This window comes from Homo sapiens, chromosome 4, assembly GCF_000001405.40.
Source record: "Homo sapiens chromosome 4, GRCh38.p14 Primary Assembly".
Taxonomy (NCBI): Eukaryota; Metazoa; Chordata; class Mammalia; order Primates; family Hominidae; genus Homo; species Homo sapiens.
This window is the reverse complement of record NC_000004.12, coordinates 119334014-119361659: the sequence shown is the minus strand read 5'-3', so window position 1 is coordinate 119361659 and position 27646 is coordinate 119334014. Positions and strand designations below refer to the sequence as shown.

Sequence of the window (27646 nt, the reverse complement as noted above, 5' to 3'; positions counted from 1 at the left end):
AATCAAACCTCCTTATCATAGTCTACAAACCCACTTTGTCTGGCCCTATTTACCTTTCTAATCTAATCTCATCTTTCTCCACTCTCTCATCATTTACTCTGCTCAAATAATAATCGCCCTTTTCTTTCTGGCCCATAAAACACGCCAAACTTATTCACATCTCAGGTCCTTTGCTCTTTCTGCTTGGAATGTTCTCTGCCTTTATTTTTACATCACTCCCTTCTTTTCATTCAAGTCTCTGCTCAAACGACCCCTCCCCAGAGAATAACAGGTAAAATTCACCTGTTTCTCTATCTATGGGTATATTATTTGTCTCGTCCCTACCCCTCCTCTACAATGTAAAGCCTTTCAAGACAAGGACCTTATCTATCCTGCCTGACATTGTAACACCAATGGTTGGAACAGTGTCTGGCATAGAATAGATACCCCATAAATATTTAGTAAACTATTGATTGAAAGATGAAATTCATCAGGATCAATACTGGCAGTGAAAAAAAGAGGTAAGCTCAACAGCTTAGATATAGGGAAGGGAAAGGGTAAGCCATGTATAAAAAGCAGTAAAGTGGTTCTTCATCCATACCTGATCTGGCCTGATCCAGCTACAGGTCTTACAAATCTTAGATCTTCAAGTGCAGTTCAATTCGGTCCTAAACTAATCCTGACCAATACCACAAAGCTTATTGGGCACCATATCAGTGTTTACAGTCTGGCGTTAATCTTGCTGCCCTAAACGTGATGTGCTCCCCCAAGTACCCTCATGCTTGCCAAGCCACAGCGTGACTCCTAATGCCCCACATAACAAGCCCCAGATCCTGGGTTTGTTGCCCAGTTTCCTACGGGAATGCAGACCCTCCACAATCTCAAAATTACTTGGTTGTGGTCATTACAATTGCCCAGCCCTTACCAAGTCTCTTTCTAGACAAGCCAGAAACATAAGAGCTATAGGCTTGAGTGTTCACCCAGGGCAGCTCTTCCTGGATAAAGGCACTGCCATCAGCCTAAGAGTATATGCTACCACCACTACCAACACCACGAAAGTCCTGCTGCCAGGCTCTCTGCAGCATCTCATTCAGACCTGAATCTGTAACTCACCTCTAAACATTTCAGTTCGGACTGCATGCTACCCTCAGTTTTTTTTGTTATTGTTATTTTGAGATGAAATCTCACTCTGCTGCCCAGGCTGGAGTGCAGTGGTACGATCTTGGTTTACTGCAACCTCCACCTCCCGGGTTCAAGCGATTCTCCTGCCTCAGCCTCACGAGTAGCTGGGACCACAAGTGTGCACCACCACGCCTGGCTAACTTTTGTAATTTTAGTAGAGATGAGGTTTCACCATGTTGGGCAGGCTGGCCTTGAACTCCTGAGCTCAGGTGATCCGCCTCCCTTGGCATCCCTCCCAAAGTGCTGGGATTACAGGCATGAGCCACTGTGCCCAGCCTACCCTCAGTTTTAAAATTATTTTTTGAAAATGTCAAAAAAAAACACAAACACAAACACAAACAGAAAAAAAATACTTGTTGAATGCTTGCTCCATCAGGTCAGTGCTCCTACGCCTAGCCCTATTCATCTCTGGCTCAAGCTCCAATGCCAATCAGAGGTTAAGCAACTTAGGCAAGGTCACATGGCATTTAAACAGCAAAGCCAAGATCCAAACCCACTCTAAGTATATACTCTATTCATTACTTTGTTCCCTGTTCATTTTTTTTTTTTTTTTTTTGTAGCACCAGGACCGAGTACTTATCAGAAATTCCATCAATGACTGTTTAACTGATGGGGTGTCTTAAATATTTTTAAGACAGATTTTTAAAACAAATCTCCACCTACTGGGAATTTCATTTCAATGTTTACCCACACAATATAGAAATACACAAAGCAAAAGCACTCTTCACCAAAATCCACTTTACCTACTCACCTGATGAACCAACTCTCTCCATGCCCTCAGTAACTACACTCTACTGTGCTTGCACACGTCTGCTCCTCCAGCTGGGATGCATTTTACCAATTCATACATGTTGGATTTGCTCCCACATCTGTTTATGACACTTGCACTTATTGAAATTACACAATTTAAGTAAATGAATTCAATGAAATGTGAATGTAAAAAGAGCTCTTTCTATGAAAACTAAGTTGGCTGCTTTGGAGTGGCTTGATCAACGTGTTACTGGAAAAAAAAAAATAAATGTTTTCAATCCAATTAGACATGGGAGGAATGAAAGATAAACTGTATAATTCAAAGAAGATTTTGCCTTGAGATTTCAAGTTCAGTTCTTGCTGCACTTAAAAAAAAAGCCTGGAAATTATAGTTGGTGCATGATTATGGTATGGTTTGTGCAAAAAAGGACATGTGGCTCTTGAAACAGCTTACCATACTTAGTTTTACAAACAAAGATTGGAATACAATTGTAAACCTACATGTTTGAGGTTAAAATATTTAGGGTACACATGTATTCTGTTTTGGTGATTTCCCTACTTTGGCTGGCTTTTTATTGATTAAGCTAACTTAAAGCTTTTTCAACTATGTCAACAGGCCTGGTACCATGTAAGCCCCTCCATGTGATGTCCTCCTTTTGGGAACATGCAGAGTAAAACACTATCTATACAGCATACTCCTAGCAGTTCTGGTTTGAAGCAAAACAACAACAACCTGCCCTATACCACCAATAAAATGGACGCACTATATTGAATTTTCTACTATACTGAGACTGTGTTAAACATTTAGTCTGTTTATTACCAATAACTGATTTTAGATGTCCCTTGAAAAACTCTCATTTAAATTTTGTTTCATTTCTAAAGAGATAGAAAGTGTCTGTCTCAAATAATTCCAATTCATCCAACATATATTTCATGAACTTTTTAAAACCTATCCATTCAAAACTGTCAGATGTTTCTCAAATTCTTCTAGATGATAACAGTTCTAATATGGAAAGAATCTGTAGATGAGTACTCATAATATTAATTTAGGAATGAGAGCATTTACTTTCATGGGCACTGTTTATTAACAGCATTACCTTTGTTTTTAACACTTACATCAAGTGAGAAACTCTTACCTACTTTTAGGAAGCCAAAACAAATACCCAAAGGCGGAGAAGTCAAACTCATGTAACAAAACTACAAATTTAGCAATGAAGTAAATGCTTTAAGAAGTTCAAGATCCTTTAGGATTCTCCAAAAGTGTTAATTAACACATCTAATGACATAGCATGTACCTTGAATAATTTTTGGATCGTGAAAAAAAATTTTCAGTTATAAAGACATTTACATTTTTGAATTTATAAACTCTCTTTGTAAGCAATACTAGTTAATGACGATTTAATAGTTGCTGTGTGACGTTGAGCAAATTATTTAACCTTCTTAAACCTATTTCTTCAATCACATTGGGGTAACACCTATCTTACATGGAGGCAAAAACATCAAATGAGCTACATATAAAATGCTTAGCATATAACTAGAGATATACCCATGTGAAAATCCTTCATACATGCACATACACACACAGACTCACACACACTTACATATTTATATTTTTTATACCTAAAGCCAAGTATTCTTGGCCGGGAGTGGTAGCTCATGCCTATAATCCCAGCACTTGAGGAGGCCAAGGTTGGCAGACTGCTTGAGGTCAGGAGTTCAAGACCAGCCTGGCCAACATGGTGAAACCCCATCTCTACTAAAAATACAAAATTAGCCGGGCGTGATGGTGCATGTCTGTAGTCCCAGCTACTTGGAAGGCTGAGGTGGGAGAATTGCTTGAACCTGGGAAGCGGAGGTTGCAACGAGCCAAGATCACACCACTGACCACAGCCTGGGCAACAGAGCAAGACTCTGTCTCAATAAAATAAAAAAATTTAAAAATTTAAAAATAAAGCCAAGTATTCTTAACAGTGGAAGGTGGGGCAAGCAGCAAGGTACACGGATTCTCTGAAAGTGTATTGAAAATGTATGCAAAACTTTGTGTAGATAAGCTAATGTGCCCTTTCCTTAGAAAAGGGTTGACAGTTTTTCATCATATTCTCAAAGGTGTCCATAACCACCAAATGTCAAAGAGCATAGTTTTCAATAGCCTTTGGCTGTATTTTCTCTATTTCCCAGATTTATGCAGTTCATAAAGTTTGCTTTGAAACTCTAGACACAAGTTAAATTTTAATTCACTCAACAGCAACAACAACAAAAAAGTTGAATTACAAGTGTAGTCATAGGTAAAATATTGGTTCTCCTTTTATCTCCCTTTAAAAAAAAACTGTAAATTCATTTAGCTCAAATTATCCTCCAATTTTGCCATAAATAAAACCAAATATCCAAACATAAAGCCAAAGTTTAAAAACCTAAACAAACAAAAAAACAACAGCAGCAACAAACACACAAAAAGCTAGGAAACCTGGAATGGCCAAGAATTCAAGCCCTATTGCTTGTATAAATCAGAAGGGACTATAATAACAATAGTCCCTTGTTTGGAGTTAATTTTTTAAATTACTCATTCTCTCATTCTGACTCCAAGTTAACAACCTTCACTTCAAATAGGTATTATATTGTTTAAAATTAGTGTAATAAGGAGACCATATGGTATCATGGAAGAGACCCTACACTAGTAATCTGGGAAACCAGGGTTACAGCCCTGTTCTGTCGCCAACTGACTGCCAACAGATGGCTGGACCTCAGCATTCCACAGCACAATGATTCTACACCAAAACATGCAATCCCAAAGATACTTTCTAGCCCAATATTGTACTTTACTACTAAAACAGAAACTTACAAAAGGGAGGTCACCTGGTAAAAGATTTGAGTCTAGGTCCAGTGAGAAAAATATACCACCACCAAGAAACATTTGAATTACAGAAACTTCTGTTCCCACTGTCAGCACCTTCAGGGCATATAAATTCAGAGCACGGCTTCCAGTTAGGGCCACTTAAAACTTCAGCTTAACATTAATAACAACAGACACCTTCTTCTTTAAGGTGGACAACACTTTACAAGAAAGATTTAACAAAATATAGATTGACAAAAAATACACAAAGCAGGAAATAGGAGTCTGGTGTATCTTTATATGGTATAGTCTTATTTTTTTCATTGAAAAACACATGTCATGGAAAAAGTAGCTACTTTTAATCTAATTTATTTCTCAACTGCCTTTTCCAAAACAAGTATTTTTCAATTGAAAATAAAAGAAAGCTTTACAAACCATGATAGCCCTATGCTGAAGAGATATCCCTCTCCCTCTTAAAAACAAAACAAAACTATACAAATATTAAGCATTTAATAAGCCTGCCAAATGTAACTCTTAGAATGTATTCCTGCATATTCTAAAAGCTAAGCAATATATACACAAGAGGCAAATTAGGATGGCAAGAGTTTTCTGAAAGGCTGTGATGACTAATATTTCAGGACTGGAACATGATAGTTATTAAAAGAAACATGAGAGGCGTTCTCCTAATTCCTAATAGGCCCATGTCCCCACCACAAGAACTACTACAAACAACATTCAGGGCTGAATTCACACAGTTTAGTCTCTAAGGCCTAAAGGATTTTTCTCAATTTTTTCCCATGTGGCCCATTATGTGAATCAAAGAAATCAGTAATTCATTTGTTGAAGGTCAAATATAAGGACATAATGAGGCCCATGCACTAAAATGAATAAAAAGAATGAACAAAAAGAAACTAAGATAAACTCTTGTTGAAAACAATGCCCCAGAATCTAGCAAATAGTCTAAATGTACCTAAAAGACCAGAATGAGATGACGTATTAGTTCAGTGATCTCATGACATATACCAAACACTTTCTTCCATGTTAAAAAAAAAAAAAAGTTCATCTAGCATCTGATGCATACATTTAGAAACAACTCCAATATTGACCAAGGTTTTTCAAATGCCTTACCTCATAACTGGAACTTCTAAGCAAAAGCTAATGAGGCCATCTGGGAAAGATCACCAGGAGGCCTTACTACTGCCAGTATTTCACATGGAACAATCGATAGCATGTCTTAACAAGTGCAAAGATTTCAGTCTCCGAATTCATTTTGTAGCATATTTCAACTAGTTAGCAGGGATAAGGATTGAACCAACAACTTCCTATTTGTGCAAGTAGAATTTAAAGATTATTTCTTAAGAATTTAGTCCTAGTTATTTTTGTTGTCCTCAAAACACAGTGTCCCTGTTAGAAGGAATATAAATAAACACACATTTTCAGATGGCAATTTGGCATTGCTATCAAAAAATTAATATATGCATGTACTCTTTGATTCACCAATTCCATTTTGAGGAATCCAGCTTATAAAATTTGGGGATGCAAATATAAAAATGTCCACTCATTGCACTGTTTTTATACAGGTGAAAAAATCATACTATATATATATATAGCTGATTAACATGAGTTAGACCCATATACACTAATGTGTGAAGACCCCTAAGACACTGCTCAGTTCAAAAAGCAAGTTTCAGAACAAGTATAGTATTTCTTATGTAAAACAATTGTGTGTACGTTTGTGTGAATAAATGCATGGAAAATGGTCTGAAGGGATTCACAGTACATAACAGAAGCTGCCCTCTAGAGAGGAAGAAGTGAATCAATGTATGTGAACTGGGGTATCGAAGAGAAGGTCCATTTTCTGAAGAGGGATTTTCACCTTTTACTCCACATCCATCTGTATTATTTAAACATTTATGTAACACACATAAAACATTTGTTCTTTATAGAATATAAGATGCAATATCAACTTTTACCTAAACTCCAGAATCACTTAAAGAGGATGCTCAAATAGTAAAACAAAGAATAGGCTGGGCATATGGTGGTTCACACCTATAATCCCAGCACTTTGGGAGGCTGAAGAGGGCGGATCACTTGAGCCCAAGAGTTTGAGATCAGCCTGGGGAACATAGTGAGACCTCTCTACAAAAAAAATAAGAAAATTCGCTGGGCATAGTGGCACATGCCTGTAGTCCCAGCTACTTGGGAGGCTGCAGCGGGAGGACTCCCTGAGCCTAGGAGGTCGAGGCTGCGTGATCCATGATCACACCACCGCGCTCCAACCTGAGAGACAGAGCAAGATTGGGTATCAAAAAAAAAAAAAAAAAAGACAGAAAGAATATTGGCAGTCAAAAACATTCTTTGTAGACTATATCCTTCCAAGGAATAAAGAGAAATTGTGGGCAGCATCAATGAACAGTTATAAATGAATATGACAGTGTTTTCATGAAAGAACAAGCATCATTCAGAGAACTAAAGGATCTGTATCTCAGATCTTAAAGAATATAAAAGATACTGAACTCAGAAACATTACTAAAAAGGTGTAATCATTCCAAATATTTTTTAGAAATACAATTTTCACAATGAATCCTATTATTTTGGTGAAAAATGTATACTGTGTGGGTGTGCTTTTTTTATTAAAAAAAACTGTATGCATAAAAAGCTAGATGGTGTGAAGTGTTTACTCTTACCTGTACATTTTCTTCTGTAACCTGAATTTCTGCAGTGTAAACGTAATCAATTAGCATCCTCAGGGTCCAGCCATCTACCTCTTTTATTCTAACTCTCTTTGCTCGGCTCTCACTCATCTCACCTAAAACACAAAGGAATAAGAGTGATGTTACAGCAAGACACTGCTGTGGAAGTTCCAGTGCCAATGCACATTGATACATCTTCTTGCCACTCACTGTATTCAACAGGCAGCATAATCAGCCACTTTTTGCAGGCTGAAAACACTCCCCTTCCTCTTCCAAACGCTTACCTGAGCAAATCATAAAATGTACTTTTGTTACCCACTTGCACCTGCAAATCATATCACAACAATGAACGTGCCATATGTCCAGCTGCATGAACTATTCTTGTGGCTATAGGATCAGTAGCTGAGGCTGTCCCTGCTTTTGGGCATTTGTTGTCTTTATGGATTTCTAGTCATGACTAGAAGAGTAATGATGTTACTGCCTTTGGCTAATAGCAATGAACAGCTGCTGAAAAGGACCCACCTGGTTAGCATTACTCCTTCAACAAACACACAAATGCCTGCCGGGGCATGCATAGCCTGCACCAGACACAGAGGCTCCACCCTCAGTGAGAGGTCACAATCCTCATGCCAGAGACAACGAGAAAACAAATTACCTATGATGCTTAGAGAATGCAAGGCATAACAGGGATCACAATAATAACAAAGAGTTAGTCAATAGCAAAGCTTATTACAGAGATCTTCTACCTCAGATTCAGTTCCTGTTTGTTAACTGCAGCAACTTCACGCTGAAGTCATTTCCATACCAGCTTTATTACTAAAACCAGGTATCCTTCCACAAAACTGCCTGCTAAAAAAACAGTACAAGACTTTCTTCCTAATACCCACTTGTGGAAAAGAAATAGGGAAGGAGGAAAGAGAAGGGATGGTCCCTAAGCCAAGGAGACTTGGGGAGAGTAGGAGGCAAGTTTAAGCACCGAGGTGTGACAACATAAGTGAACTATGATACATGGAGACACAAGCAATTGAATGCGGGTGGGGAGGGATTCAATTAAAAACTAAAAGGACAGTCCAAGAATAATGCTGAGGGCCATGGGCAAAAAAGATTTGGCTCTAGAATTCACTAAGTTTCAAAGGTAAAAGAAGCATGAGAACGTGCCACTATTCATCATCTTCACTTTAACCCAGCATCTCTTATTAAACCATAACATAGCCTCAAGATTTCTTGAAAGCTCACTTCTTTTTCTGATACAATGCACTGTCAGCAACCATAAACTATCAGAAAAGTCTATGGGAAATCATAATTACACAAAATTCCTTTGTAAACAAAACCCTGGGAGAAGAGAAATAACAATAGTGGTGTACATTTAACCGCGTTCTTCCCTGGAGATTATCTCTGACAAGATCTCAGAAAGAAGCTGTTCACCTCAGAGCTAAAATATCCCAAAAAACTACCCTGCTACTTCCCAGGAAGAAAAACATCTCTTTGTATGACAAGGGAAGTAGGAGAGTTAATGAGAAAGATGTACCTATACCTACATAGCAGGATGAAAGGGGACTGAGTTGTATGTCTGGTGCTACAGCAAATGTTTTTCCCGTGCTTACAGAAAGGGGGAAAAAGGAAGGTCAAGGAATACAGAAAAATAAGTCTTCAGCCACATATAAGGCACCTTCCTCTATCCTATTCTTGCTGGATCCTGTGAATAGTTGGGGTATAAACTGATAGTCTGTATAAACTGAAGCCTCTTTTGTGCCAAAAGTTAAGACATTCTGGTGATTCCCACTTGGACTTGAGACAAAGGCCATAACTGATTCACCTACAGAGCCCCAATAATATGCAAAGCCCTTCAGGGCCTGGGGCCACATGAGCACAAAGCCAAACAGCCAGTACTCAGTTAAGCGTGACTTACCTTAGGCAAAACCAAGTGGGACTTTAATTTACATGTATGACTGAAAAATAATTAGTTCTCTGCCAAACAGTTTTTAATATTATAGTTCTTAAGGTATTGCTATAAGATGCATTTTGCTAGTTCAAATATTTGTCATTTTTAAGATTATTTTTCTCCCCAGAAAACTGTATCTGCTTCCAATAAATTCAATTTCAATTATATACTGTTTTGAAAACATTTTAATATTTTTATATTAATTTACAAAAACAGTAAGAAAAACAAAAAATGTGCCCATGACTGTATTAATGGTTTAAAAATTCTAATTACTATGAATCAAAGCCCATACTAAAGAGTATTGTAAAAGTTATTTATATCTAATTCCAGTTGTTACATTATTACCTTAGTTTTTGCCCTTTGCTGTGTTTTCAGAGGAAATCTTTAAACAGTATGGCTTTGTGAGATTTCTGATTGCTAACGCATTTTAAAAACTATCAATGAGAGTCAGGTGCTGTGGCTCACTCTTGTAATCCCAGCTACTAGGGAGACTGAAGCAGGAGAATCACTTGAGCCCAGGAGTTCAAGACTAGCCTGGGCAACACAGCAAGACTCTGTCCTATTTAAAACAAACAGAAAATAAACTAGGCTATCCAATGATACTGTACATAGTTTATCCTTACCATTTGTAACCTCCCATAGTCTCTATAGAGATTATAGTTTCTTGTTTATGTTTTGATCACATAACTCTGAGCTTATATCAGAACTCTGAAGCTACATTATGCTATCCATACAAACACCTATACTAAAAACCTGAGTGAGAGTCATCCTTGATTCTCTCCTCTTCCTTACCCACCAGTCCCACAGTTCACTAAAACTTGCAGAATTAACCTTGGATAGATCTCAAATAAATCTTCTCACCTTCTCACCATTGGGGATCCTATAATCTCTTGCTCACACCAATGTAGCCACCTCCTAATTATTTTCCTGCCTCCAGTACTGACTCCACAAATTTGAGCACGGAGTTCAAAAATCCTTTGGTTTCTCCCAGTCCAAGCACACATGTCCAGCCCCTGATTCATTGTCTAGCCTTCTCTCTCTCCTCCCGCTATTTCTAAACTTGAAATACATTATTGAGAAGCTGTTTGTTGTTTTCTACAGACACAAAGCAATGTCTTACCCTGATGCTCTTGTTGAACATTGTCCTCTCTGTCTCCCCACCCACTCATTTCCCAGGCTAATCTCCACTGGAACCTCTCTAGGTAGCCTTATCTGTTGGTGGCCCAAGGCTGGATTAGGTACAGTTGGGTACCTCATGCAGATCCACTCTGTCATAATCAACTCTTTACCTAGTTCTCCTCCTCTGAATTCTTAAGCTCACTGAGAACAGGGATGAAGCCTTTCTTATCTCTGTATAACATGTCTGACATCTAGTAGATACCCAATAAACACTGGTTAGATAAGTAAATGACTAGATGAATAAAAAGTAAAGCAAGTGCCAATTTAAAATGTAGCATTTTGGCTGGGCGCAGGGGCTCACGCCTGTAATCCCAGCGCTTTGGGAGGCCAAGGCAGGCGGATCATGTGAGGTCAGGAGTCCAACACCAGCCTGGCCAACATGGCAAAACCCTATCTCTACTAAAAATACAAAAATTAGCCAGGCATGCTGGTACATGCCTGTAATCCCAGCTACGTGAGAGCCTGAGGCAGGAGAACTGCATGACCCCGGGAGGTGGAGGTTACAGTAAGCTAAGTCCACACCACTCACTCCAGCCTGGGTGACAGAGATTCAAATAAATTGAATAAATACATAAAATATAGCATTTTTACTTAACGTAACTAATGGCACTTTAAAATTAGTCTTAAACATGGATATTCTAGCTATGTAGGATTTCAGTCAACAAACATTTATTGAACATCACTATACATTACAGAGTGAGCCAAACACTTTCACTGGCAAATACCACATCATCTCTACCTTTTTTTTTGAGACAGAGTCTCATTCTGTTGCCCAGGATGAAGTGCAATTGTGTAATCACAGCTCACTGCAGCCTTGAACTCATGGCCTCAAATGATTCTTCTGCCTTGGCCTCCCAAAGTACTGGGATTATAGGCATAAGCCACCGCACCCTGTCTCATATCTACTTTTATTGATAAAAAAAAGGAAGTCCTCCAAAACATGAAAGTGTAAGAATACATATATGGCTAAAAACATTCCCATCTCGCATGCCTATAGTCCCAGCTACTCAGGAGGCTGAGGCAGGAGAATCGCTTGAAACCGGGAGACGGAGGCTGCAGTGAGCTGAGATCATGCCACTGCACTCCAGCCTGATGACAGAGCGAGACTCCATCTCAAAAAAAAAAAAAAAATTCCATCTCAAGGATCTTTAATCAGGACTCCTGAAGCCCAACATAAACTGGTAACTTCACTTATCCATTGCAAAATGAATTTATCCAATGAATAAATGAAAAGTGAATAGGTTTAAAAAGATAAACGCTAAAATTCATTTCATTTTAAAAATTCTATGATTCTAATTTCAGTTATTTAGCACACAAAACATCTGAAAAAAAGAATAAAAGTGTAACACAGAAACTCTGACTATGCTGAAACTCTAAGAAATAAATAACAAATTTATAGCTATGTTTAATAAATCTTATTCCATTACTTTGCAAGTTCCACTTGTCATCTACTCTAATCACTACTACCTTTTTGTTCTTAGGTTACAAAGCAGTTACTGACACACAGGCATTTTCAGTTTGGCCAGGTGACCTGGGTGGCCCACCAGCCACTCTCTGTGATGGTCAGAGTATGTAACTCTCCAGTTCTACAGCAAATCTAAGGCCAACATGGTAACTGCATTGCCCTGCCAGTTTTGGTCTGGTTTGGGTAACTTCTGAGAAAGGTTTCTTAGCTCCTAAAAGACAGAGTCCTCCTTCCTTGACATGTTGGGTCCACTCTTGCAGGCATCTTTCATTTAGGAGAGGAACAAACCTTAGGATATTTTTATTGAGGATAGAAGGGTAGACAGACAGAAGAAGATTCTTGATGAAATTTTCAAGCTGTAGATCCAATCATGTCTGGTGCCCAGCCTGCTTTCTTAGTATTTAAACCAGTTTGAGTGGAGTTTGCTGTTACAGGCAGCCTAAAGCATTCCAACTTAAGTTCTTTGTGCAACATTCTATTTAATTTTTTTCAGAGCCATCATCAATACCAGAAATTATCTTTTGTGTGTTTACTTACTGTCTAACCTTTCTTCTTCTTCCTAACTAGAATAATGAGAACAGGAACTTATCTGTTTTATTCATCACTCTAGTCCCCAAAGCCTAGGACAATGCCTAGCAGAGAAGATTCTCAATAAATATTCCTTGATGAATGAAAGCATGAATCTTAGACAAACATAACCATGTATATAGCTTTTTAAAATCTTACTTCTTAGTCACTCAAACAATAATCTGTCTTTTCCTATTCTAATTTATTTTACTGAATCATGTTCAATATGACAAAAGAAATCAAAAAGCACACCAAAAAAAAGGCTAAAAATAAAAATTCAGTATTCAGTACTTCCCACCAGATTTCAGAAATGTTAGCCTGTGGCACAAATAAATCTCAAAGTATGTGTTAAGCAAACAGCTTTCTAAATGCCATATTTGTAACCAAGAAGTAATCTAAAAACACAAGAACCCAATTTGGTATGTTCTTTCTTAAGTAATAGTTAAATAACTTGGCCTTACTCTAAATAGGCCCATACTTCACAAAGTAAAACCCTGTGACTACATCACAGAATTACTTTTCACTTCCCTTCTCTACTCAAATACTTGGAACTATGACGAGTAACAGAATTATTTCTTAGGTGATATAATTTAAATGAAAACTTCACCTACAGTTTATGAGATTAAAAGTAAGACCCAACAAAGAACATCTGCATATTCCCCATTTCCTAATAGGTTAGTCACAGGAAAACAAAAGAAGAGTAGGGAAACTCCCTGTCCCTGAGCAAGAGAATGTAAATGTACATGATGTTTGGTGGAATGAAAGCATCCAATGGTCTACTTGTTAACCTCACCATAATTTTTGCCAAAAAAAAAAAAAAAAAAAAAAAAAAAAGCTTAGCAGGGCTTCAGACCATGAAAAACAAAGAAACAAAGTACTCATACTCTGGCAAATACTTAAATGAGTCTACATACACTAAATTACCTAGACCCAATCCCCGTGTCTTCTTTTTTTTTTTTTTTCCTTTTTTGAGACAGGGTCACATTCTCACTCTGTTGCCCAGGTGGAGGGCAGTGGCATGATCTCAGCTCAGTGCAATTCTGCTTCCTAGGCTCAAGCAATCCTCCTGCCTCAGCCTCCCCAGTAGCTGGGACTGACTATACAGGCACGTGTGACCATGCTCAGTAAATTTTTTTAAAAATCTTTTCAGAGATGAGATCTCCCTATTTCTACCAGGCTGGTTTAGAACTTATGGGCTCAAGCAATTCTGCCACCTTGGCCTCCCAAAATGCTGGGATTACAGGCATGAGCCACTGCGCCCTGCCTTTACCTTTTTTTTTTTTTTTGAGACAGAGTCTTGCTCTGTCGCCCAGGCTGGATTGCAGTGGTGCTATCTTGGCTCACTGCAAGTTCCACCTCCTGGGTTCACGCCATTCTCCTGCCTCAGCCTCCCGAGTAGCTGGGACTACAGGTGCCCACCACCACGCCCGGCTAATTTTTTTTTGTATTTTTAGTAGAGACGGGGTTTCACCGTGTTAGCCAGGATGGTCTCAATCTCCTGACCTCGTGATCCACCTGCCTCAGCTTCCCAAAGTGGCCTTTATCTTTTTTATCTAATTTCTGCCAAATTGTTGGCTAAACAGTAGATTCAAAAGTAGAAGAAAAAAAAAACAGTACAAAGATTGCTAGAAAGTCAAATAACATCTACTGCTGAAAAACCATAAAAGTTTAGCCTAAATAATAAGCACATAGAAAGATGCTTGACATCATTGGTCATTAGAAAAATGCAAATTAAAACTACAATACTATGCTACTTCAACACCCACTAGAAGGGCTATAATTTTTTAAAAAGCGGTAGCAAGTGTTGGCAAGGTTGTGGAGAAATAGGAAGTTTCAAACATTGCTAGTAGGAATGTAAAATGGTACAGTAACTTTGGAAAAACAGCTTAGCAGAATTTTTTAAGTATAAATTTACCATGTGACCCAGCAATTACACTCCTAGATATCTACTCCCAAGAGAAATAAAAATATATGTCCACACAAAGAACTGTGCATGAATATTCATAGCAGTATTATTCATAATAGCCAAAAATTGAAACAACACAAAAACATCCATCAACTGGTAAATGGAAAGTCAAAAGTGGTCTATCCACACAGAATGCTATTTAGCAATAAGAACAGCAAACCTTCCTTTGAAACATTTACAACACGGATGAACCTCAAAAACATTATGTGAGAACAAAAATGTTCTAAAATTGATTTATGGTGATGGCAGTACAACTCAGTAAATTTGCTAAAAATCAGTGAGTTGTGCACTTAATATAGGTAATTTTTTTTTTCTCACTCTGTCACCCAGGCTAGCATGCAATGGCACCATCTTGGTTCACTGCAACCTCTGCCTCCCAGGCTCAAGTGATCCTTCCACCTCAGCCTCCTGAGTAGCTGGGACTCTAGGCTAGGGCCACCACACTAAGCTAATTTTTTATATTTTGATAGAGATGGGTTTTCACCATGTTGCCCAGGCTGGTCTTGAACTCCTCAAGCAATCCACCTGCCTCAGCCTCCTAAAGTGCTGGGATTACAGGTGTGAGCCATTGCATCCAGCCCTGAAATGGGTAAATTTTATGATATATAAAATATGCCTCAATAAACTAGTAAAAAAAAAAAAACATTAGGTACTCAATTCACATTTTGTATATGTGCCAGAAATTAACATAGTATTCCTATTTTCAAGTACTTTAGCACATAGCAATCTAAAATTTGACTAAGCATAAAAGGTATATTCTCAGACAGAAACCAGTTGAACTGCAAAAGCACCTACCTACTAGTTAGTTGTAATACACTATAAATACTTAGAAAATCAGAATGTCTTCAATGCCTCATTCCCTTCATTAGGCAAAGCTCACATATTCATAAACCATGTCAGCTAAATCATGAAGCATAGAGAACCATTAGACAAAAACAGAAGAGGGAAACCAAAATGCAGTTTAGATTATAAAGCAAACAGAAAAGAGAGCTAAAGACATAATAAGCTCTCCTATCTCTACCTAGCATCCATTTCACTGGATGTCTAAGGCTCAGGGAGTTTGGAGACACTAAGTCTCCAAAGCCTTTTGAGGGGAAAGGAAACTAACCTTGATCTTACAGGTATAAGTTAATCACTCTATTTTTGTCACTCTGTGGACAATAAAACATTTATCAAAAAAAAAAAAGAGCCTAGCTTAAAGCTTTCCAATCTTGTACAGAATATAAAGAAATTTAGGAAGTTGGAGTAAAAAAGAATGGTGATGATGACCATAATAATTACTGTCAAAATTAACTGATCATTTTCTATGTGTCAAGTGCTAAGAAATTCACACATATGTTCTCATTTAATCTTTACAAAAACTCTAGGATGTGGGTAATATTATTATTCCCATTTTCCAGATGGGGAAACTGAAGCACAGATTAAGTTTTCCAAAGACCCAGTAGTTCCAACAAGTAAGTGGCAACAGCAGTGTCATCTGAAGGAAGGCCACCAAGGGGACAGCACTTTACAAGGGAATTCCTAAAGTAGCCCAGCACATTCCAGATCGAATCCTTCTCTTACAAGCCTTAGAGACTCTCTCTCTCTAGAAAAGTGTCCAGCAGTAATAAATAAGATGTAAATCAAGAGACTAGAGTGAACCCCAAGACATAAAAATCTGACTAGTCTCACTTCACAGGTATTGACTTTTCAGATCAACCTCAGCTCTCAGCTGAAAGGCAACCCTCCCAAACTTGGCTCAGAACCCACCTGCTATCCTTCTTCATTCCTGATTATTTAACTCTGTTCTGGAACAGCAAGATCATAAAAGGCTGAAAACTGAGCGGGGCTCTGTTCTCCTCACTACTCCCAAGACACCCAGAAAAGTTTTCACTCAGTCCGTCTTCTCCATCTGACTTCTACACTCATCTTCATCTGTGTAAACCCCTCAATCCATCAGGTCTGGGGAAATCCTTCTCTCAGTGCTGCCCATCACAGCCCTCAACGTCTGACCACTGCTGTGAGCACTCAGATCTTCCATACACTATTACCTATTAAAGGGTGCACATCCATCTGCCTAGCTACACAGGATGCTTTTGGGGCAGGAAGCATGTTCACATTGTTTTTGTATGCCTTGAAGTATCTAGTAAAACAGTAGCACCAGAAATACTTAATAGTTTCTAAAGTAAGAAGAGCTTTGTATTTTTGCTTTTTGGTATAACTACATTTCTATTTGTATTTTCTATTTGGCATACCAATACCCTAAGATTATAAACTCATTGATGTAACAGATAAAAACTTCATTTCTTTGTACAATATATTTTAAAAAAGAATGAGAGTAAGGGATTCAAGTGTGACAGACATAAATTACTTCTTTTCCAGAAGTACTAAAATCATTCTATATATTTTCACAGTTGCCAAAGCAAAATGTAAGCTTGTAGATAAATCGCTTTATTTTCTTATATTTCCAAATGAAGGATATTAAATAAACATCTTTTTCTTCAATGTAACACTAGATGAAACAAATGTAAAAATCATTTTAAAAAATGTAAAGTGGTTTCCTTTTGTCAAAATAATAAAGTGCCAAAAAGCTATTATAAATGGCAGGAACTAATACACATAAGTATAACTTACAGGGAGAAAGTTGAGCATAAAATTGTGAGCGTACCTATGTATAGGCTTACTGACCCCCAACAATGAAAAACAAAGACGAGGAGGAATTTGGAACAAAGCAAGAACATTTTCTTCCACTATAATTCTTCATTTCATAAAAGTAAAATGTTAATAACAAAAGAAAATGTGGTAAGAAAAGCACAGATCTGAATACATTTTTTAAAATTCCCATAACTAAACTATTTCATACCTGTAAACATGGCATGAAAATAAGGACTACAGGCGGCCAGCACCACTCTATGAGCAGAAATTTCCATGTCTTCTGCCACAATTGTGACATCGCACAGTAAATTTTGACTGTGTAAAAAGCAGAGAGAAAAAATTTAAATGATATCAACAATGAATGTATTGAACATCCTATGCAAAAATATTACAGTAAAGCCCACTTTCATCAAGTGGAGACTAATGTAAAAAACAGCCATCCTTTGGGACATGATCCCTAAACATGAAGTACATAGAAGACAGCTGGGATAAAGGCCCAACATGCCTTGGACCCTCACTAAGAATCCTGCCTTTGAAAAACACAGAAATCTTCCCAAACTTGATTATTGATTTCTCAACCTAAAGGCAATTACTGGCAGCAAACCATCAATGGACTGCAAAAGAAGAGGCTATCTGAATAAGAAGTAGCGGCAGAAGTGGCAGGTGTAGTCTGACATGAAGATGAAGAAAAAACACATGCCAAAAACTAAATTGGGTCAAATACCCGCCCCCTCCCCAAAAAAAAAAATCTTAAAAGACCCTAGTTCATCAAGCAATGGTAAAATTATATTCAGTTACACTTGCTGCTTAAAAGGCTTTGAGCATTTGAAGCTTAACTTAATCACAACATTTTACCAATGCAAAATATCTCATCCTTCAAGGCCAGAAAATATTACATCTAAAGTTAAAAAACACTTTGGCCAGGTGCAGTGGCTCATGCCTATAATCCCAACACTTTGGGAGGCCAAGGTAGTGTGGGGAAAAGCAAGAGAGATCAGATTGTTACTGTGTCTGTGTAGAAAGAAGTAGACATAGGAGACTCCATTTTGTTATGTACTAAGAAAAATTCTTCTGCCTTGAGATTCTGTTAATCTATAACCTTACCCCCAACCCCGTGCTCTCTGAAACATGTGCTGTGTCAACTCAGAGTTGAATGGATTAAGGGCGGTGCAAGATGTGCTTTGTTAAACAGATGCTTGAAGGCAGCATGCTCCTTAAGAGTCATCACCACTCCCTAATCTCAAGTACCCAGGGACACAAAAACTGCGGAAGGCCACAGGGACCTCTGCCTAGGAAAGCCAGGTATTGTCCAAGGTTTCTCCCCATGTGATAGTCTGAAATATGGCCTCGTGGGAAGGGAAAGACCTGACCGTCCCAGCCCGACACCCGTAAAGGGTCTGTGCTGAGGAGGATTAGTAAAAGAGGAAGGAATGCCTCTTGCAGTTGAGACAAGAGGAAGGCATCTGTCTCCTGCCTGTCCCTGGGCAATGGAATGTCTCGGTATAAAACCCGATTGTATGCTCCATCTACTGAGATAGGGAAAAACCGCCTTAGGGCTGGAGGTGGGACCTGCGGGCAGCAATACTGCTTTGTAAAGCATTGAGATGTTTATGTGTATGCATATCTAAAAGCACAGCACTTAATCCTTTACATTGTCTATGATGCAAAGACCTTTGTTCACGTGTTTGTCTGCTGACCCTCTCCCCACAATTGTCTTGTGACCCTGACACATCCCCCTCTTTGAGAAACACCCACAGATGATCAATAAATACTAAGGGAACTCAGAGGCTGGCGGGATCCTCCATATGCTGAACGCTGGTTCCCCGGGTCCCCTTATTTCTTTCTCTATACTTTGTCTCTGTGTCGTTTTCTTTTCCAAATCTCTCGTCCCACCTTACGAGAAACACCCACAGGTGTGTAGGGGCAACCCACCCCTACAGGTAGGTGGATGGATCACTTGAAGCCAGAAGTTTGAGACCAGCCTGGCCAACATGGCGAAACCCAGAATCTATTAAAAATACAAATATTAGCCAGGCATGGTAGACCACACCTGTGATCCCAACTACTGAGGAGGCTGAGACACAAGAATCACTTGAACCTAAGATGCAGAGGTTGCATTCAGCCAAGATCGCACCACCACACTCCAGTGACAGAGTGAGACTCTGTTTCAAAAAAAAAAAGCGTTTTGTTACCTCAAAACCATTATTCAGCAACCATATTATTGTATCTCTAATTTTAAAACATCCATTGTAATTCACTAAAAACATGTGGTGAGCATTTTTGACATGCAATACGTGGTGCCAGATCATACTATCCAGGTAATTAATAACGTCATAGAATATTTTTAACAGAAAACGTTGCTGATGCTTATTCTAGAATAAGCAAGAAGGCTCCAAAGCCTACAACCTGCCTTGCTAGTAGTCATACTATGAATGACTGAAACAGGTGTGGTGAAAGCAAATGTCCCTTGCACACCTCACATACCCAAGCACTGAATTTATGTCTATGTGCATAGTGCATGCAGGTCACACTTGGCACCCTCCTCTACTGTTCTATTTCCTAAAAAGTTGGCCTGCCTACTTCTGTAATTTTCTAGTAGCTTACAAGCAACATTTTCCATGAGCTTGACGAAGTCCTTGAAGTTTTCCACCTGTCCATACTGCTTGCAAACTTGTTCCCATAAAGTTCATGCCAAAACTTTTTGGAGAGCCTACTGGTAACTATTCTCCTTCCAGTTTAGGAGAAATGGAAGAAAAAAAGACTACCCCAGCATCAGTGATGACTGCATCCCAGGGCCTCATTGCTGATGAGACTGCTATGCCATTTAGATTATAGTATGGCTCGTGTGTTACCAGTTTAATGGCTCATGATGCTGTATGAGACATAAAGCAGGTCTCATATTGGAGTCATAAAAGGTGGCACAGTATCACTAATTTACAATTCCTCCAGATCATTTTAGAGAACTGACAAAGTTTACCATCTGCTCTGAGAATATAAAACCATTCTGCAATTCTATGAATTCCATGGGTTCACATATAACTAGGGTGGAAAAGTCAGTGGTGTCAGCAGTGTTTTCAGGAAGGTACTATGCAAGAGTTTTACCTGCATGTATTATTTCATTTAGTGCCCACCACAATGTTATAAGGTATTATTTTTATCCCCAAATTTATAGCTGGGGAAACCAAGGTTAAAGTCCTCCAACTAGAGGCAGTGCCAGGATTCAAATCCACAGGCTAACTCCAGAGCCTCTTGACCACTACACAAAACCTAAAGCTATACTGTTTTAAGATCTGTTAAAGTTTGAATAAAACAAGAAAGGGAAATAGTAAATAAATTATAAATAATAACAATTTATTTTTTGACATACAATACACTAGAAAGTATTTTTAAGTTCTATATATAGCTAATAAAAGCTCCAAATTTAGTGGGTTTTAAGCACTACCTCTACAGAATATTTTTAAAAATCAAAGTTTGTTCATTCATTCAACAAAGTACTGCAAGACCATCTCTGCCCTTAAGAAGACCACCAGAAAAAACTGGCAACGCAAAAATTATAGGATAAAGTGGAAAGCACCGTAATAAAGATGTTATGGAAAGGTTGGGGTGGGGGGGCTGCGTTTAAATCAGACTGGGGATCAGAAAGGGCTTCCTGCAGCTATTGGCCTTAAACTGAGTTCTAAAAACAAGTAAGAGTTAGCTGGATCGAGAAGGAGCAAAAGAATCCCAAAGAGAACATGATGTACTATCGCATGGAGACCTGAAGCAGCAAAGCAGAATGCGGAACTGTGGGCCAAGAAGAGTGGGGACAGAGAAGGGTGGGAGCGAAGAAACTCTGGAGGCAGGTAAGCAGGGTCAGCAGAGCATGCATGGTCTCTCTAGAATAAAGCAATCCAGGTTTCTCTTTCGTGACCTGGGGATTTGAACACAACTCAAACATGAGTCAAGTGCATCTTTATGCCTATTTTCCTTTTGTCAGTAATCCCTCCTAGTGCTTTAGTTTCAAGATGGAACACAAGTGGAATTACACCTGAACACCTCAAAAATCACATAACTAATTACATTTGGCTTCAATTACAATTATTCATTGATCCAAACCTTCTAACATAATACCTGCTGGCTGTCACTTACATAATTAACTTGGCCTTACTGACTTATTAGTTGATGTTAGTTAACTAATAAGGTTAAAACACTGCTAAAATATTATGCAGCCACATCCTGGGTTAGGTCTCAGAGCCACTTTACACATTAAGGACATGCTTAGTTTTAGTATTCAATTTTTTATCTGTCTTCAGTAATAACATATTTTAAAACAGCATTCAGAGATGAGAGAGCTAACAAACTCTTACTAGTTTGTGTCACTAAGTACACAATGAGTGTATATCAGTGTGTGTACATTGAGTCTGGCCCTTACCTCTTTCCAAATTTGCATGCTTACAAGAAGCTGAATGACTTTTGAGTGAGAGAGCTACAAATGAAAAGTCTGGCACTAAAAATAAGAAAAACTTCTTTTAGCAGCCCATATGCAAAGTCTTCCATGGTGAATTTCTAAGTTTATGTTCCTATTACTTGAAATCTAATGAGGGATAAACTGTAGGAAAAGAAGGCCTCCAAAATAATGGTATAAATAAGTTGTTATTTAGCAAAATTTGCATTTATTCATTCACTTATCAAGGACTGTGTGAGCTTACCAAAATAAACAAGATTAACAGCCATGACAGTATGAAGTTTACAGTCATGTGAGGGAGACAGACAAGGAAATAAGTGATTATAAAATGAACCCATGACTTTAAGATGGGACAAGTGTGGGATATTTGGAAACACACAGGAGAAGCTAGGCTCAACCTTATGGAAAAGCTTCAGAATGAAAGTGGCTTCTAAGCTCAAATCTAAAGGGAAAAGAACAGGAGTTAGATAGGCTTAATGTAAAACTCAAATAGCACAGAATAAAGGAAGGCACTCCATCTCCTAAATAAAATTGTATCATGAAAATTGGTCCTTCTCAGGAAAAAAAGAAACTGCTTTGAAAAGGTATGAAACATGCCTGAACACACTAAGGCATCCTTGGGTCTTCTGATATAAAATGAATGAATTCCTAAGACTGAGAAAAACCTGTCACTGCTTTTAAAATGCACGGTGTCTATCTTCTTAAAAGTAAAATATGTCTCATAATAGGGTGACTGTAGTCAATAACAATTTAATGATACATTTAAAAATAACTAAAAGAGTATAACTGGATTGTTTATAACACCAAGGATAAATGCTTGAGGTCATGGATATCCCATTTACTCTAATGTGGTTATTATACATTATATACCTGTATCAAAATATCTTAGGTATACCTGAAGAAAAAGGGAGACCCCCTTAAGTTCACTGTTTAATTCACTTGCCATCTAAGTAACAAAGTATGAATTCATACAATAGACACAATAACAATTTAGCCAAAATTCAACAGCCACAAATCAAATGTTTTTATGGATGCACAACAGATAATCTAATCCTAGTAGTGATATAGGTCCCATGATGCCTAAAATCCTGGAGGAAAAACACAATAACCATTCCTTTAAGAGGGCAGATCAGGCTATTTTGCTTAAATATCTTCTGGAATGTTAAGAACTGCTGTTATGAATGAACAACTCAATATTTATGGGTTGTACAGGATATAAAGGTGAACATTTGAATTGCTTCATATGATTCATCCTTACTGAATACTTTCAACTCCTAAATATTAAGGATCAAACTTACATTCCTTGTAAATAAAGCTAATAGGTTGTGCCCCCACCACTAATACTCATTGAAATTGTTAAAGCTCAAGTACAGTCTTATCCTATAGCCTAAAAAACAGTAGGTTTTTTTTTTTTTTTTTATTTTAAACACAAAATGCCACCTTTCAACAGTTGCTCTTTGGTCTTCTCCAAAAGCTAGCAATCTAATTTTGTCAATAAAACTTATCTGGGCCAGCCTAGCCAACATGGCAAAATCCTGTCTCTACTAAAAATATAAAAAATTAGCTGGGTGTGATGGCACGCACCTGTAATCCCAGCTACTCGGGAGGCTGAGGTGGGACAATCGCTTGAACCCAGGAGTTGGAGGTTGCAGTGAGCTGAGATCACGCCACTGCATTCCAGCCTGGGTGGCAGAGTGAGATTGTCTCGAAAAAAAGAAAAAGAAAAACTTACCTGGGGTACAGTCTGCTTCTCTGTCCCCTCTATAGACCTAATACAGTGTGTTGCACATTATAAGCATTCTGTGAAGATCTATTGGGTTGATTTTGAAAATGTCGGTGTTTTGAAAAATTTCCCCCATCCACACTTGGGAAATTTAGAGTTAAGATCTGAATTTCCCACCAGAGATGCACTGCTGACCTAAAAGCCGTCCTTTCACAACTCCAACATCATTAATCTTAGCATGATGCTCTGTTTCCCAAAAGCCTTCACTGAATCCCACTGCCCAGAGGATTAAGTCCGAATTCATCATACTATTTAAGCCTGCCACAATTCTGCCCTTCTCTTGCTTCCTAACCTTTTCTGCACAGACTCCCCAGGATGAACCCTTGATTCACTTTATCCAACAGATGATGTTTATTCCCTCCCTGACTTGTGCAATTAATCATGCCAGGAAAGACATTCCCACTCCATCCCCTCAGTGAATCCTGCTGCACTCCCATCAAGGCCCAACTGAAGCCCACCTCTGTGGGCTGTGTGAATTTTCCCCATGAGAATCCGTTTGGGCACCCATGATTTGCACACTTTTTCACTGCCTCATCCTCCTCTCTGTATGTGTCCAGCAGCTCTCTAGACACTCAAAGGGCATGGCCTAAGTCTGATACTGTTTTTGGATCCCACATAGCCTTTCAGGCATATTAGCTGATTAGGTGCTCACCAATACTTGTTGAATACATTGTTTACATATGACTGCAGGGTTTTTAAACCAAATAATTTCAAGATATTCAAGCTCTTACCAGGCTGGGATATAAAGCTAGGTCTCTGGGCCTCCTGTCTAAAAACAATTAGTTTAAGAAATCAATAAAATGTCATGTACTTTTTCTATCAAACAATTTTAATTCTGTAACTTAAACCTTACAGAACTCCTGTCTTCCTACCCCCATTCCCACAACCACACCTTACATCAGCCATAATTGAAAGTGACTTTTACTCCTAAAATTTTGCTTCCATCAGCCAAAGGTTCACATTAACATTCTTCGGAGTACAGCTGTTGCTGTACCACTTTGAGGTTAGAGCCCAAGGGCAGAGTGGTGAGAACAAGGAAGTTCTCCCTTCCCAGAAGTCAGGAAAACACTCTCAACTACCCTTTCTGGGCAAGAGGAAGTTGATGCAAGGACAGGAAATAATTAATGATTTTCAGCTGTACAAGGAATAGGCCTCTTCAGAGATTTTTTTAAAAAGAATTACTCAAAATGGCTATAAGATTTAAGGGTGGAAGGGAATGACATTTTTAAAAAGGTCTGATGAACCCGAACGACAGTCCATTTTTAAAAATACTGTTGTTGTTGGCGCTTTCATTAAAACAATCCAGGTTGTAGACCTGGCAGCCAATACTCTGGCTATTCAAAGGTCATTCTTTGTTCTGAAAATCAGCATCAACTACCAGCCCAGTGACATACTAGCTGCTGAAAGGGTGCCACACAAAGAACAAGAAGGTACTATCTCACAGTTATAGAGTTCACATCCAAAAAGGGGCAAACAGATGAATGAAGACTGGAGCTTATAAATAATCCTAGGGCCAGGCAAGGACACCACAGGGCTTGCAGGTAAGCAGGAAAAACATCTCTAGGCTGAGAATGTCAGAGCAGCACTGAACCTTAGACACCATCTTGTCCATGCCTCTCATTTTATAGTCAGGCTCAAACAAGTAAAATAACTGGCTCGAGACCAGAGTCTGTCCCCAAACTCAGGTCGTTCACCCCAAGGGAAGGAGCACTTGGTGTTACCTTCCCTGCAGTTTAGTGAGTCATGCCCAGGTCAACAGAGACCCACTCACATTAACACCAGCAGAAAGCCAAGGCTACCCGTGCCCCACCCATAGGAGTGGGGAAAAAGAACATTTGAATAGTCCTATTAAAAGTCAGTCTTTTTAGACTTCTCAAAGAGAAAAAAGAGCCATTAAAGATCCCAGTCTTAAAACAACCAGACTATTTTTCCTACTTTTCTTGCAGTTCCACTTAGTAACCAATGCATTTTACATTCTAATAATTACTGTCAAAACAGGATTAAAAACCTGAAACAGTACCCTGAGACTTGCTGGATTATTCCAGCTATATATTCTCCCAAAGAATAAGTGAAAACCCACATTTTGAAAATGTTGTCAAAGCGGTACTAGAAAGCAAATCAAATGATCCAATATTCAGTTTAACTTTCTCTTATCTCTCTCCAATCCATTCTTTACCCAGCAGCCAGTGTGTTCAAAATATAAATCTGATCAGGTCACACTCCTGCTTAACACTCTCCACTGGCTTTCTCTCAAGGCAACTCTTGATTAAGACCAAAATTTCAGGACCTCAGTCCAATGGCCCCTCCTACCAACTCAGCTGCCTCTCCTGTGTGATTCCATCGCCATGTGCACTGCAGCAACACTGTCAGTTCCTCCAATGAGGCCAGCTCCTTCCTACCCTAAGTTGTGGCACTGCATTCCCAATGCCTGGAACACTGTTCTCCCTCTCCTCACTCCCATCCTGACTTTATCCCCTTATCTTCTTTTCCTTCTAGATATCAGCATAATTATTCCTGTCTTCTCAAGAAAGCCTTTCCTGACCACTGTTATCCACCTTTCTAGCACCAGCAGCCCTCCTTTGCAGCACTTACTGTCATTACAGTAAATTATTTTTGTGATTCTTTGATGAATGCCTACTTCCTGCAGTCAGCTATGGGCCCACAAGGGTGGCAACCATATTTGTTCTTGCTCACCATTGTACCTACAGTACCTAGCAGATAAATATTTATTGAATCCCTAATTTAATTAAAGAAGAAACAAACAAATGATGGGCCTAAAAGGGAGAGCTTTTAGGAAGCATAGAAAGATTAAGGAAGGTTTAATCCCTTCTTAGCCAGGCTTTCAGCATTTCAGATAGATATACGTAGAGTACTTTCACAAAGGGAATGGTGGGAAAAAGCAGATCTTTCATAAAGTGCTAAGAAAATAAAAGCAAGACTCTTAATACATATATTACCCTTTTAATTAAAAAAAGCTACTCATTTTTCAATCAACTTTTAACACTACTTAAAAGTTGCAGTGATCCTTAGTACACTTGAGAATTACCTCAGCAACAGGCAGGTCACTGCCCCCCAAAACTACCACCACTCCCACAAAAAAAGGGTTACATTTTTCTCTAAAAGTTTCTTTCCATATTCTTTGCCACAGTAAGTTAGAAGCCCTAGACCAGCACTGTCCAATATAAACATAACGCAAGTCACAATTTTATAGTAATCACATTAAAAAGGTAAAAAGAAACAAAAGAAATTAATTTCAATAATATATTCTCTTATTTTTAACTTTAACAGAAAGAAAATAGGGACAGAGTCTCACTGTGTTGACCAGGCTGGTCTCAAACTCCTGGCTTCAAGTGATCCTCCTGCCCTGGCCTCTCAAAGTGCTGGGATTATAGGCATGAGTCACCGCACCTGGCCTACTGTATTCTTTTTAACTCAAAATATCTAGTATATTATCATTTCTACATGGAATCAATACATTTAAAAGTATGAATAAAATATTTACATTTCTTTTTTTTGCATTTAGAAATCCCCTGTGTATTTTTCACCTCCAAACTATCTCATCAGACTAGCTGTATGTGGCTAAGTGGCTACCACACTAATAGAGGAGCCCCACACCATCCACACTTCTGATAAATTATTTGCTCTTTTCCTTTAAAAAACTTGCAGAAAAAGGTTTTAATGTTCTGTGTACCAGAAAAAGCAACAATGGAAGGTTGATTATATATTCACTACAAACAACTGAAAAATAAAGGGACGAAACCAATGGTTGCATGTACATTAGTATAATGATACCTTCTTAATTCGTTCATGACTTTGAAAGCTTTCTTCATATGCCAAGGATTCACTGTCACTGGGCAGTGTTTTTCGGTATTATCATCTTTTGAATCAAGAGGCTTCTGATGACCCTGCTTTGTGCACCTGTACATAAAAGAAAAGAACAAAAACAGAAAAAGATCTTATTAAAGATCATTTAGTTCAGCTTATCAAGCTACAAGAGAGACAATGAATGTCTCCTTCCCCTACTTATTTAGAGGAAGTCTCATGAACAGAATATCCCAATGTAAGGTTAAGACAATTGAGAACAGTTTCTGATGGACACTATGGTTTCAATAAAAAGTGGGTAATTACCTCCCTGGTGTCAAAGTTCCGTCAAAGATCAACACAGAATATTCAGTAGAAGTGGCTTAGCAGATATCTCCAAATAAAACTGTTGAGAAATGATCTTCTCCATT

At 38.5% G+C, this 27646-nt stretch overlaps 1 pseudogene, besides 2 other annotated features; it reads right to left on the bottom strand.

Moving 5' to 3' along the window:
• Positions 1 to 27347, bottom strand: part of KLHL2P1 (kelch like family member 2 pseudogene 1) — a 43921-nt pseudogene extending 16574 nt beyond the window's left edge.
• Positions 13230 to 14218: an enhancer, noted in NCBI's record as "H3K27ac hESC enhancer chr4:120268597-120269585 (GRCh37/hg19 assembly coordinates)". NCBI's record gives its function as "activates a minimal SCP1, AML or CMV promoter by ChIP-STARR-seq in naive H9 embryonic stem cells {active_cell/tissue: H9 hESC(naive)}" and the evidence as "EXISTENCE:reporter gene assay evidence [ECO:0000049][PMID:30033119]".
• Positions 18505 to 19098: an enhancer, noted in NCBI's record as "OCT4-NANOG-H3K27ac hESC enhancer chr4:120263717-120264310 (GRCh37/hg19 assembly coordinates)". NCBI's record gives its function as "activates a minimal SCP1, AML or CMV promoter by ChIP-STARR-seq in primed H9 embryonic stem cells {active_cell/tissue: H9 hESC(primed)}" and the evidence as "EXISTENCE:reporter gene assay evidence [ECO:0000049][PMID:30033119]".